Here is a 15,461-nt window from a genome sequence, read left to right as displayed (position 1 = left end):
ATCAAGAAACAAAATTGTCTAGGCCATAAGTTACTGTGAATTGTCTAGCTTCTCTGCAAAAAATAAATGGGCTATTCTCTTTATTTTTTACTATTTCACTATTGAGAATAGCCTAGAATCAACCTAAGTGTCCAAGAAGTCTTGGTTTAACCCTGAGGATTACTAATGTTTTCACTGTGGTCATTGTGGTAGATTATATTATCATTCTCCCATTATCTGGTCTTCCTACTGCAGTGACCCTATCTCCTAGAAGATTATACATTTCTGTCCTATTGAAGGAAGGGTCAGATTTAGATATGTGACCTGTTAGGCCACTGAAATGCAGGTAGAAGTGGCATGTGTAACTTGTAAGCAGAAAATTTCCTTTTTCAAGGATCTGGGAGCCATCCCTTTCAAATGTAATCCTCCAGAAAGATAATACCTTATTTCCCAGTCTCCATGAGAGAGTAAGAGCCTAATCTTGCTCCAAGTTGTAAAAATTATCTTATATCATAAAGATAAAAGAAAGTTTATTTTTCCTTTGAGAAAAGACAGTTAGCAAAGACAGGTGGCCTATGATCGCCCCCTTACCCTCACTTTCAAAAACTCCACGGCCCTTTGTATCAGGGGAGCTGAGTTCAGACTAGGTCTGGCCTCTCTCCTGTATTGCAATAGCTTGAATAATATCTTCCTTACTTATTTAAATTTTTCCAGTGCAATTTTTTCTTTGACTCTTTCCTCCCTCTCTAAAACTTACATTGAAATTTTAGTAGGATTCAAGGCAGCCAATCTCGACCCTTGAATATGTAAAAGAACCCTTTAAGATTAAAAAACCCATGTTATCTTCCATAAATTATTTCTCCAGACTATTGCCTTATTAAAAGTTTCTATTTCTTATTTTTGCATTGAAAAGGAGAATGATGATTTTTAAATAAGTTCCTACTCACTTTTAATTTCTACTATCACAGTTTTATTGCTTTTCATGGCAATAGATTCCTCTGGTTCAACAGGAAGGCCAGAACAAGGAAGTGCAGAAACATCTCAATATATCTCAAAAAGTTATTTAACATGGAGAGTGTCATTTAGTATCTTTAACATCTTTATCAAACGGATGCTATTATTATCCCCCTTTTACAGGATATTAAAACTTACATACTGTAAATAACCAGCTGAAAGTCATATAGCATGGAAAATACAATAAGCATACAAAGAAGCAATGGTATTAGAAGTGGAGGAGGGTGAAGGATTAAAAGGCTAAACTTAGTTTGGTTAAGAAAAAAGAAAACTAGGAGGTGGCAAACTCTTGTTGGAAAGGGGAAGGATTTGGGCAGAGCAAGGTAGTGGAGTCGATCTCTCCAGTAATCATACCCCTATGGACACATCTATATGAAAAACTATCCACATATGAAATTACCTTTACAAGAGCTAACGAACCCTGAATACATGAGTGAGTCTATGAAGCCCCTTTGGACTGCAAAGAGGAGTAAAACCATGCTTGGACAGTAAGGGAAACAGTACTCTGTGACTGTGATACTTCTCCCCCTGGACATAAAGGTATTATATGCACAAAGTCCTACTGAACTCACAGTTCTTACACTGAATAAAGTGAGCAGAAGTTGAATATTTTTTTCCACCATACTGAGTGCCTTCACAGTAGACTCACTCCTGCATCAGCCCACAAGCAGCACCATGAGTGTCAACAGAGCTGAACCACCAGAGGCATGCTAGGGACATAGAGAAGGGATTGGGTTAGCGATACTTACTATATGAAACTTAGCAGTGGCTAGCCATTCCTACCAGAGGAAACATTATACCAGACAGGTTGTTTATGGGCACCACGTTGTGGGAAACATGATACACAGACTGTCCAGATTTGATGGCCTGACTTGTTCTCCCCCAACAGACAGCAGCCTTTCTGTGGATCACCCATGGGCCCGTCCATTTACATTGTATCAGTGGTGAAGCCCTATTGCAAGACTTATGTCTAACCTTTGCTTTGGGCACCTCCTAATGCTAAAATGGAATATAATGGAAATCCACACAGAATTTCTAAACAAGCCCACTGAGAAACAGTCAAAAACAAACCCAGACTGAGAAGACTGAAATAAATATTTAATTCATCAATGTGTAGAAAGAGATGTACATCTACAAAAAATAAGAATAGCCTAGGAAAAACTGCCTCACCAAATGGAGAAAACAAGGTGTCAGCAACTGAACCTAAAGACATGCAAATGAATGATGTGGCAGACAAAAAAATTCAAATAGCTGTTTTTTTTTTAAAAAAATCTGTGCACTTCAACAAAGTACAGAGAAACAATATGGAAATTTATGAGAAATTCAACAAAGAATTTAAAATAATGGGAAAAAATTATACCAAATCATACCAAAGAAATGTTAAAGAACAGTCTTCAAACTGAAAGAAGAGGGCACTAATTTGTAATACAAAAAATTGGAAGGTATAAATTTGCAGGTAAAAATAAATATTCAGACAAATTCAGGATGCTCTAATATAGTAATAATTGAATGTAAACCACTTACATGTTTTTAGTAAGAAGGTTAAAATACAAAACAAAAATAATAACAACTACAATAATTTGTTAAGAGATAAGTGATATAAAAGATGTAAATTAAGACATCAAAAATGCAAAATGTGGGGGAGTGATTGAGTTAAAGAGCAGAGTGATTGCTTTTCCCCATTTCTTATTATCAAAATTAAGTTGTTATCCATTCAAAATTACCTATTGAAACTATAAAATATTCTTCGCATGCCTCATAGTAACCAAAAGGCAAACATTTTTATTAGATACACTAAAAATAAAAGAACAAGAAACAAAAACACACAGAGAAAATCACTTAACTACAAAGGAAGACAACAAAGGGACAAAAAGGTACAAAAATTCTAAAAGACAAGAAGAAAACAGTATATGGCAGTACAAGTCCTTATCTATCAATAATTACCTTGAATGTACATAGATTAAATTATCCAGTAAGAAGACAGAGAATGGGTAAATGGATTAAAAACAAGACCTAACTATATTCTTTCTACAAGAGACTCCCATCACCTGTAAATACACACATAAATTGAAAGTGATCAGATGGAAAAATATATTTTATGACAATGGAAATCAAAAGAATGCAGAAGTAGTTATATTTATATCAAATAAAATAGACTTCAAGTAAAAAAAACTGTAAACACAGACAAACAAGGCCATTATGTAATAATAAAGGGGTAAGTACAACAAGAGAATACAATAATTGTAAATATATAATGCCCTCAACATTGGAGAACCTAAATATATAAAGCAAACATTAATAGATCTAAAAGGAGAGACCAAAAACTGTACAATAATAGTGAGAAACCTCGACATCCCATTTTCAGCAATGAACAGATCATTGAGAGAGAATGTCAACAAAGAAACATTTAAACTGCACTCTAGATCAAAAGAATTTAACAGTTATTTACATAACATTTCATCCAACAATTGCATAATTCACTGTCTTTTCACCTGCATATGGAATATTGTCCATGATAGATATGTTAGAGCACAAAACAAGTCTTAGCTAATCAAAAAATCAAATCATATCACTTGTTTTTTTTGACCATATGGAATAAAGCTAGACATAAACAACAGAAGGAACTTCAGAAATTGTTCAAATACATACAAATTAAACAACATATCCCTAAACAACCAAAGGGTCAATGAAAAAAATTTAATTTTAAAACATCTTAAGACAAATAAAAATGAAATCAGAACATATGAAAACTTATGAAATACAGCAAAACAGTTCTTAGAGGGAAGTTTATAGCAATACATTTTGACATCAATAAAGAAGAAAGATAATGAATAAAGCATCTAACAATGTATTTCAAGGAACTATAAAATCAAGAACAAACTAAGACCCAAATTAGCAAAAGAATATAAAGATCAGAGCACAAATATACAAAATGAAGACAAAAAAATACAAATGAGTCATTAAATGAAGGAATCTTCTTTGAAAAGGTAAAATTGACAAATGTTTTGTCAGACTAAGAAAAAAAGAGAAAATTCACATAAAATCAGAGATGAAAAAGGATATACTATGATAGACTCTAGAGAAATATAAGGAATCGTAAGTACTACAAACAATTATATGTCAATAAATTGAAAAACTTAGAAGAAATACGTATGCTCTGGACACATATAACCCATCAAAATTGAAGAAAGAAGAAGTAGAAAATGTGAACACACCAATGAAAATTATTAGATTGAAGGAGTGATTTAGGCTCTCAGTCAAGAAAAATCCAAAAGACTTTACACAGTAGCTCACATCTGTAATCTCACAGTTTAGGAGCCCAAGGCAGGAGAATCACTAGAGGCCAGGAGTTCAAGATTAGCCTGGGCAACACAATGAGACTGCATCTCTAAAAATAAAAATAAAAATTCCCCAGGTATAGTGGTATGTACTTTTACTCAGGAGGCTGAGGCAGGAGGATCACTTAAGACCAGGAGTTTGAGGCTGCAGTCAGCTATGACTGCACCACTGTATGCCAGCCTCAGTGATAGAGTGAGACCCTGTCTCTAAAAAAATAGAGGAAGAAAGAAAAATTCATGACTTGGTGGTTTTTGCTGACAAATTCTACAAAACATTTTAAAAACTTATACAAATTATTTACAAACTATTTCAAAAAAATGAAAAGGAGGGAACTCTTTGTAAACTCCAGGCCAATATCATTGATAAACATAGATGCAAACATTCAAAACCAGCAGTTCTAGCAATGATAATTCAAAAGCACATTAAAAAGATTATTCACCATAATCAAGTGGTATTTACCCGGGGAGGTAAGGATAGTCTAATACATGTAAATCAATAAAATGTGATACATCACATTAAACAAAGAAGGATAAAAAGCATATAATAATTTCAATAGATGCAGAAAAAAGCATTTGACAAAATTAGACATCCTTTTATGATCAAACCTTTTAACAAATTAGTTATAAAAGAACATAATAAAATAAAGACCATATGTGATAACCCACAGGCAACATTATACTGAATGGTGAAAACTTGAAAGCTTTGCCTCTAGGATCTGGAACAAGACAAGGATGTTCACTTTAATCACTTTTTTCAACATAGTACTGGAAGTCCTAGTCATAACAATTATGTAAGAGAAAGAAATAAAAGGCATCCAAATTGGAAAAAAAAGTCAAATTGTCCCTCTTTGCAGATGACATGATCACATATGTAAAAAACCCTAAGTACACCACTGAGAATCAGAAATAGTAAGTGAATATAATAAGGTTTCAGGATACAAAAGCTACATAAAAAATCAGTAACATCTCTACAACAATAGCAGACTATCTGAAAAAGGAATCAAGAAAATAATCCCATTTAAAATAGCTATAAAAAACCAAAATACCTATAAGTAAATTAAGCCACAGAAAGATGAAAATTATTAAACATTGATAAAAACAATTTAAAGAATTAAAATAAATAGAAAGATATCCCATGTTCATGGACTAGAAGAATTAATATTGTTGAAATGACCATACTACTCAAATCAATCTATAAATCCAATATAATCTCTATCAAATTTCCAACTTCATTCTTCACAGATATTAAAAAATATCTTAAAATCCATGTGAAACTACAAAACACCCCAAATAGCCAAATAAATCTTAAGCAAAAAGAGCAATGCTAGAGGTATTACACTATCTAATTTCAAAATATATTACAAAGCTATCCTAACTAAAACAGCATGGTATTGGCATAAAAACAGACATGTAGACCAGTGGAACAAAAATAGAGAGCTCAGGCATAAATGCACATATTTACATGCAACTTATTTTAGACAAAGGTGCAAACATTCAATTGGGAAAAGACAGTCTTTTCAACAAATGGTTCAGGGAAAAGTGCATATCCACATACAAAAGAATGAAAGTAGACCCCTATCTCTCATCATATAAAAAAATCAACTCAAAATAAATTAAATATTTAAATGTAAGGCCCCCAAACTATGAAACTAGTAGAAGAAAACATAGGTGAAATGTTATATGTCATTGGTCTGGGCAAGGACTTTTTAGAAAAGACATCAAAAGACATGCACAACAAAAGCAAAAGTAAACAAATGGGATAACACCAAATAAAAACTTCTGCACTGCATAGGACACAATCATGAGAGTGAAGAGACAACCTACAAAATGGGAGAAAATATCTGCAAACTATTCACTTCATAAGGGGTTAATACCCCAAATTTATAGAAAACTCAAACAACTCAATAGCAAAAATACAAATAATTGGATTAGAAAACAGTCAAGATAGCTGAATAGACATTTCTCCAAATAAGACAAAAAAATCACCAACAGGTATATGAAAAAATGCTCACCATCACTAATAATCAGAGAAATGCAAGCCAAATCCACAGTGAGATATCATCTCACCCTGCTTAGAATGCTTTTTATGAAAAAGTCAAAAAATAACAAATGCTGGCAAGGATGTGAAGAAAGGGGAATGTTCATACACTGTTGGTGGAAATGTAAATTAGAGCAATTGTTATGGAATACAATATAACTTCCAAAAACATTAAAAATAGACTTATCACATAATCCAGCAATCCCACTACTGGGTATATATTCAAAGAATATTAAATCAGTATGTCAAAGAGATTTCTGGACTCTCATGTTTATTACAGCACTATTCACAATAGCCTAGAATCAACCTAAGTGTCCATCAATGAATGAATGGAGAAAGAAAATGTGGCATATATGCTGTATTTGGTCATTCTTGCATTGCAAAAATAAAGAAATACCTGAGATTGGATAATTTATAAGAAGAGAGACATAATTGGCTCCTGGCTCCATGGGCTGTACAGGGAGCATAATGCCAACATCTGCTTGACTAGTCAGGAAGCTTGGGAACTCGTTCACTATCATGAGGATAGCACCAAGCCATGAGGGATCCACCTCCATGACCCAAACACCCCCTACCAGGCCCCATCTCTAACAGTGGGGATTACAATATAACATGAGATATGGGTCAGGACAAATATCCAAACTATATCATATGCACATTTGGCCATAATAAAGGGTAAAATCGTGTCACTTGTGACAACATGAATGAGCATAGACGACATTGTGGTAAGTGAAATAAGCTAACCACGGTAAGACAAATATCACATGATCTCATTTATATGTGAAATCTAAAAACACTGATCTAATAAAGAGTAGAAGAGTGGTTACCAGAAACACTGATCTAATAAAGAGTAGAAGAGTGGTTGCCAGACTGGGAAAGATAGGGAGGAGAGGTTTTAACAATGCATCATGTATCAAAATACCACATTGTACCCCATCAACATGTGAAATTATCATGTATCCACTTAATAAAAGCAAAGAAAAAAGAAAATGGAAGAGTCAAGATACTGAGGCACTGGAAGAGATAGAAGAGAAGGTGAATTGGCAGTAAGGAAGAGAGAGTCTGAAAGAGCAGGTCACAGAGTGGGACATTAAAGTTTATAACATTAGAAATCAATTTTTAAGTGATTGAAAAGTTAAGTTTATAGCCATGAAAGTGAGTAGCTCAATTGAAGTGAAAGTAAAAGTCAATGAAAGATTAAATTAGAAAATATATTGCTTGGCATTTAGTAGTTACTTCAGAAATATTAATAAATCTTAAGAAAATTAAGAACACCAAAGCATTCATAGTGGGCCATTATCATAATATGAATTTATGTGGTAATATTTTATTCTTTCCAGTGAAGGGAGTAATTCAGTCTTGATTACAGGTTAGAAAATGATTTTTCCAGGTGTGACCCACTGACCACATTCATTGTATTTGAATTGCTTGAGCAATTTGTTTCAGGAGAAAATGGAAAGATTTTAAGATGGACCAACGAAATTACCACTGAGTGTCTTTAATGGAAATCTCAGCCTTGTCTAGAATAACCTGAGTTATCTGTTTCTATGGGGTCTCTGTGCCTTTTGTTTTCTTTGTTATTTGCAATTCTGTTAGTTGTAGATTACTGATAGTAATGCAAATATTCATGTTTATAGACAGGCAAATGATTGATTTTGGTGGAAGTATAATTAATTTTCCTTTTCCCACCTTCCATCAAGAATTCAGTTTTGAACCTATCAAGCAAATTTATTTCAGTGTTCCTTAGTGCCTAGATATGTGTGGCTCTTTTAATTTTCCGTAAAACTCAGTATAACATCTTACTGGCTCCTTCATTAAACGAAAATCCTAGACAAGTGTTCATTTTATATTTGTAAGTTATAATTTACCCTATTTTAAGCAATTTTCCTTTATCATTCCTAAAAATACAGATTCCTATGCCCCATGCTAGACCTATTGAATCAAAATCTCAGGCCTAAGGCACGAGAATTTACATTGTTAGTAAGCTTTTCAAGTGATTTTTAGGCATACTAAATTGTATTACCCATTACCATTCTAATTATTTAAACTTGAATTATTGTATTTATAATTCCATCTTCATCAAAGTAAACTTTTGGTTAGCAAAAACGGTAGAAACCCCCTTATTCAATCAGATTGGGACCAGTAATAAACAGATTAATCACAAATTTAAGTTAGCTGGAGGAATCATAAGAAGTATTAGATGTAAGTCCTTAAAACTTAACTTTAATTTAAAAGACATGTGTAAATAAATTTGCCAGAATTTTGATGACAAGGTCAAACCCTTGCACGGATTCAGAGTGGAGTTTCTTGTGGAAACTATGCCAATGATATGTTGTCATTGATTTCTTGTTCACTTTCTGTGAAGACAACTGGGGTAAAGCAATCTGAAATCCTAGATTACACAATTTTTCCCATTTGTTTCTAGTTGTCTTGCCAACAGTTAAGCTGACAGCAACTGTTGAGTTTCTCATTTTTCCAACATATTTAGTTTATTTATCAGAGAAACAACAATACTACTCTTGTTATACTCATTTTCTCAGTTTACGTAATATTTATTTATTTATTTATTTATTTTGAGACGGAGTCTCGCTCTGTCACCCAGGCTGGAGTGCAGTAGTGCGATGTCTGCTCACTGCAAGCTCCACCTCCCGGGTTCTTGCCATTCTCCTGCCTCAGCCTCCCCAGTAGCTGGGAGTACAGGCACCCGCCACCACGCACAGCTATTTTTTTTGTATTTTCAGTAGAGACGGGGTTTCACCGAGTTAGCCAGGATGGTCTCGATCTCCTGACCTAGTGATCCGCCCGTCTCAGCCTCTCAACATCATATTTAATTAAATTGCATAACTACAAGAACAAGAACAAATGGCGTAAACATATTTAGGAATGAACACAGCTTCCTCTTAGAAACTGTACAATTTCTGTGATGGAAGGAGAAATGTACAGGCATTAAAAGCAGCTCAAAGGCTTTCCATTTGCAGTGGACATCAGTCAATAAGTTGTACAGGGGTACAAGAAAGTGCTGATTGTAAATCAGTTAAGTGGAGGTCAGTTAAGGCAACATCCACTGTATCTTAATTTGTAAAGTGAATGTTCTAAAACTGGGTTCACTTTTGCTATAAAGGACCAGATGAAAAATATTTTAGGCTTTGCAAACCATACGTTCTCTATAGCAACCATTCAACTCTACCATTGTAGCAGGAAAGCACCATAGATCCATGGATGTGCTCCAATAAAACTTTATTAAAACAGGCAGCTGGCCTGAAGGCCATGTATATATCTTGCTGTTTTCATACAATTTTCTAAGTTAGTAGTTCCTTGCTTTTCTAATAATCAAGGATTACTTTTAATCCTCTCGTCTGATTTTATGTTTCAAAAGCCTTAAGAAAAACCCACAAAATATATTTATTTTGTAATTTTGGGGGGGGGTTTATTTTACTAATAAGTAATCAATGATATATAAAGGCTACCCATTAGGTCAGTATGAAATAATCAACATTATTAACTCTAATGACTTAGTACTGGATAGAAATAAAAAGTATTCAACTATATACATATAACTTAAAACCTGTATAGATTTTTCTGGTGTAAATATATAACTTTTCGAGATTTTTCAAGTATTAAGTACAACTTTTAGGAATCCTCACACCTGGCTCCCTATGATGACATTCAAGAATTCCTTAGGATTCTGGGAATCTTCAAATGAAAGTCACTGCTCTGTAGGAATGAATGAATGAATGAATGAATAAGAAAGGGAAGGAAGAAGAAAGAGCATGTCTACTAAATGTAAATTAATCATCAAGGAATGTTTATTTATTAATAAATTTGTCAACTTTAGGTTGCCAAATCTAACAAGAGACCAACATGGCATTCATGGTGATCACACCTCTAGTCAAATTTTATTTTAGTTCATTGGCTATACTATTAATATCCTGTAATACTCAAAAATTTTGTCTTAATTCTGTGAATAATTGACTTATTAATCACCCTATACACTACTTAATGAATGGAATGGTGCTTGGAATAAAGATAATTATAGGGCTAAAAGGGTTTTCTCTAGAGGCAGGTTATAGGATTTTTTTGTCTGACTGGAATAAAACAAAATTAATCAATATTTTCTGCAACCAATGGCTTTTGACTTAGTCATCTATTAATATCTATCAATCACTATAACCTCAGTCCTATTTCCTCCATTCTTCTTTTTGCTATCATAAAAACTGGTCCATTTTTTTCCTGTTAGATCTATATGTTTCACCTCTTTTCTTTTCATCCAAACAACTGGTCATCAACTTAGTACAGATAATGCAATTGATCCAAACCCTACAGAACTCACTGTTTCAATTTACATAACTTACATAACTGTCAAGCTGAAATCACTCTCAAATTTTTTAATTCAAAATTTTAATTTCATTTAATCATATTTATTTATTCATTAATTAATTTATTTTGAAAATAATTTTAACTTGTATTTTACATTCAGGGGTACATGTGCCAGTTTGTTACATGGGTATATCCCATATTGCTGAATTTTGGGGTATGAATGATCCCATCATCCAGATGCTGATTTGGTATGGTTTGACTCTGTGTCACCATAAAAATCTCATGTTGAATTGTAATTCCCAAAGTAGGGGGAATGACTTGGTGGGAGGTGATTAGCTCATGAGGGCAGATTTCCCCCTTGCTGTTCTTAGGTGGTAAGTGAGTTCTCATGAGATCTGATGGTTTAAACATATGGCACATCCCCCCTGGCTCTCTTGCTCTCCTGCCACCATGGTAGAATGTGCCTTGCTTCCCCCTTCACCTTCTGCCAAGATTATAAGTTTCCTGAAGCCTCCCAGCCATGCTTCCTGTACAGCCTGTGGAACTGTGAGTCAGTTAAACCTCTTTTCTTTATAAATTACCCAGCCTCAGGTAGTTCTATATAGCAGTGTGAGAACAGATTAATACATGAGCATAGTACCTAATAGTTTGTCAAACCTTGCCTTCCTCCTTCTCCCCTCTAGTAGTCCCGGTGTTTATTCTTTCCATCTTTATGTCCATGAGTACCCAGTGTTTAGCTCCCACTTATAGGTGAGATCTTGTGGTATTTCATTTTGTATTCCTGCATTAATTTGCTTAGGATAATGGCCTTCAGCTGCATCCAAGTTGCTTCAAAGGACATGATTTTGTTATTTTTATGGCTGCATAGTATTCCATGGTGTGTGAAATGGTTTGGAAGGTGGCCCCTATAAATTTCATGGTGAAATGTAATCCTCAGTGTTGGAGGTGGGGCCTGGTAGGAGGTGTTTGGGTCATGGGGGTGGATCTCTCATGGCCTGATGCGTCCTTGTGATAGTGAATTCTTTCAAGATCTGGTTGTGTAAGGGTGTGTGGTACTTACCCCCACTCCCATTCTCTCTTGCTCCTGCTCTGGCCATGTGATGTACCTACTCCCTCTTGGCCTTCCATCATGAGTAAATGCTCCCTGGAGACTCCACAGGCGCCAGGCAGATGCCGTCACCATGCTTCCCGTACAGCCTGCAGAGCTATGAGCCAATTAAATCTCTTTTCCTTACAAATTACCCAGTCTCAGGTATTTCTTCATAGCAATGCAAGAATGGCCTAATAATACTGTGTGGATGCACCACATTTTATTGATCCAATCCACTGTTGATGGGCACCTAGGCTGACTCCATGTCTTTGCTATTGTGAATAGTGTTGCGATGAACATGCAAGTGCATATCTCCTTTTGGTAGAATAACTGACTTTCTTTGGGTCATATACCAGTAATGGAGTTGTTGGCTTGAAAGGAATTTCTATTTTAAATTCTCTGAGAAATTTCCAAACCGCTTTCTACAGTGGTTGAACTAATTTACATTCGCACCAATTATGTGTAAATGTTCCCTTTTCTCCACAGCCTCCCAAGAGCTGCTGTTTTTTGATTTTTTAATAGTAGCTATTCTGACTGGTGTAGGATGGTATCTCCTTTTGGTTTTGATTTGCATTTCTCTGATGATTAGTGATGTTAAGCCTAATCTTTGCCACCAGAAAACTGGGAAAATACAGTGTCGCTTGTCAAAATAAATTGTTTTACTTTGCTTTAAAAATAATCAATTGAGTAGTATATTTCTTCCAGCAAAATTAAGAAGTAAACATTTAGAAATGTACAGTACCTTGCTGTTAAGTCTTCGCATAAGTATACCAATCGAACATAAAAGCCACCTTAAACTTTCATTTGAAATGAAAGACAATTTTTAAGAGGTTAAGGGCTAGTAATTTGTTAAAGTCCTGAAGTTAAATTAGCTCAAGTAAATATAAAGACTTTCCTTTAATTAAAGCCTTTTAAATGAACACTTTAAAGCATAGTTGGTTTCTCCCTCAAATCTTGTCCAAAGCCACTGTTTACAACTCAGTATATCAAAGAAGGTTTCAGACATGATTATGAAGCTCCCTCAACTTACAACGTGCTATTTGCAACCTTAGATGCTATCATTCTGGCTTTTCTAACTTTTAGCAACAATAAGCACACCCTTCCCATTTCTCCCCCACCCTGACTTACCCCTCTTTGCATTTAATAGATAATTTTTCTCAGAGTGTTCTTACACATCTTCAACTGTAAATATGACAAAAGCACACAGTATAGTACATGTGCCACATGTATAAATGTTGTATCTAGTCATACAATTTTGCTTTTAAAAAAGAAATATTTTATTTTCAAAAAGCAAAGACTCTAGGAATCTTTTCCAGCTGCCAGTCATAAAAACATGAATTTCTGGTTAGAGCCCCAAATTTCCCTGACCATAAGAACCACTTGTGGTATTTGTCAAACACATGTATTCTGAGTCCCATCCGTGATCTCCTGAATCAGAATCAGCAGGAGAGAGGCCTGGGAATACACATTTTAAACAAATGTCCACAGTGATTACGATTAGTCAAGCTTGAAAAAAATTTCACTAGGATCATTATGACTGAATAACCTCACAAACATAGGAAAGTTACTGGAGAAAAATACGAGCAGAATTTCAGAATTCTGCCTTTGCTGAAAGTGTTTGTTCCCTCCTCCTCTACTCATCAAGACCTGACTGCTTATGTAACTCCCCCAAACCACCAACACCTGGGAGGAGTTGAAAATGATTTTAATGAAGAAGAAAAGCTGATGTTTAATTTCAAAACTGACGGTGACAATAGAAGGGAGAGGCATGAATTTATCTTGATTCTAACACAAAGCATTGTATTTGAGTCAACAAACAAAATTGGTTTCATTTTTATTTTTTGTAAGTTTTCACCAAACTCTATGCATATATAGAGGCTGGGCAAGAAAGAAAGAAATCCAGAAATATGGCATATGCCATCCCTTATTTATTTCCCCATGCGACCAGCCAACAGCTTCTTCACCTAGTCCCTGCTTCAAGCTGACTTTGTGTCTACTTCTCTATCGGAAATGGAGCTTCCCTAAAGACTGCCTCAATGTCAGTTACCCAGAGGCCTTTTTTCCATCTTGTGTTCCTAAACTTCTATGATATTAAATGATATTACCCTTTCTGGAAATTCTCCTTAGCTTTGATTTTATAATTTTACTCTAACTGTTTCATTCCTTCTTTTATAGCCTTTCTTTTCTCTATCCCTTTACTGCAGACATGTTGTACGGCTTTGTTCTTGACCTTCTGATCTCTCCACATTCATTCCCTCAGAGCATGTATCCATTTTCTTGGTGTCGGCCTTCCTGACTATCTGATTATTACCATCATATAACGATGTTGGTGATGAGCATAGCTAACATATCCTAGGCATTTTCCATGTAGGTTATCATAAGCACCCTATATAATTTGTACCATTTAATTCTTCAACCCTAAATGATACTATTACGAACCACATTGTATGAGATGAGGAAACAGATTTTCATCAAAACCATGGAAAGCCAACGTGAGGAGCCCCTGTGTGTCTCCTTTGTTAATGCCTCTGGGCATCATGGCATGTGGATTGCCCTAGAATGGTGATTAGGAAGCGCAGCACTGTGAAAACACCAGAAAATACGTTATGATAGCGGGTAAGGATGCTCATCTCCGCCCATTGAGATGGTTTTGTTTCTGAGTCAGGTTTGAGATGAGCCAATCCTGACTCCATGGTGCCACCAGGGATCACGAATTTAATAAGATCTTCGTGGATGCTTGGAACCCAACTGATCTCTGTTTTCTACTTTAGGGAAAGAGTCACAGCTTAAATTGGGTGGTTTTGGTGTCACATACGCTATCAATAATACCCACCGTTTTGGTGTCACATACGCGATTAATAATACCCACCGCTGCAGAGGAATCACCGTGGACTACTGCTTGTTTCATCCCATGATCTTGCGATGGATCCCTCTCACCTGTTTACTGATTTCATTCAAATTCTTCAGCGACCACAGGACCCCGACTTGCCTTCTCTATCCTGGTTCCCATCACGCTGATTTACAGGCCTGGCCTGCTCGCGGCTCCTCACACCAGCACTGCGCGTCTCCCTCCACGCCTCTGCCCTGTTTCCTCCATCAGACAGGACTAGCTTCCTCCATCTCTATTGGGCAAAAGCCTGCCCAGCGTTCAAGACCCTCCTCAGATGCCGGCTCCATGATTAGGCTTCTTCCTGACTCCTGACCCTGTAACACGCGCCACCATAACTCTCCACCTTGGCCCACATTCCCACAGCACTCGCGACGTCCGCGGCCCTCAACATGGCGCTTCATTCCATTTTAGGGTATTTCCTGCTTGTTTCCTGCACACACAGTCGCGCGAGGCACAGCCCCGAGTGACCCGCGCACGAGTGGCCCGCGCTCCCAGACGCACTGCCGCAGGCCAGGAGGGCAGCCTGAGCCGCTTCCCGCCCCCGCGGGACCGTCACCAGCCCACAGCTCTAGCGGGAGGCGGTTCCACAGCGTGCCCGGCAGCCCCGCCACCGTCAGCACCGAAGCCTCGGGCGGGCTTTCCCCACCTCTGGGAGGCACGAATCCTCAGGGGCTCCTCGAGAGGGTGCCAGGGAGCAGATGCGTGCGGACACCTTTCGGCCCTCTGCAGCCGCCGTAGCTCCGCCCCCCCCCCGCCCCGGGAGAAACCCGGAAGTGGAAATCTCAGCCATTCAGC

The 15,461-nt window shown here is 36.4% G+C and overlaps 1 annotated feature.

The window, feature by feature from the left end:
* Positions 1,554-2,221: an enhancer, noted in NCBI's record as "OCT4-NANOG hESC enhancer chr9:68468609-68469276 (GRCh37/hg19 assembly coordinates)". NCBI's record gives its function as "activates a minimal SCP1, AML or CMV promoter by ChIP-STARR-seq in primed H9 embryonic stem cells {active_cell/tissue: H9 hESC(primed)}" and the evidence as "EXISTENCE:reporter gene assay evidence [ECO:0000049][PMID:30033119]".

This window comes from Homo sapiens, chromosome 9 (genome assembly GCF_000001405.40).
Source record: "Homo sapiens chromosome 9, GRCh38.p14 Primary Assembly".
Lineage (NCBI taxonomy): Eukaryota > Metazoa > Chordata > Mammalia > Primates > Hominidae > Homo > Homo sapiens.
The sequence above is the reverse complement of the archived record's forward strand: the minus strand, read 5'-3'. Positions and strand labels throughout refer to the sequence as shown.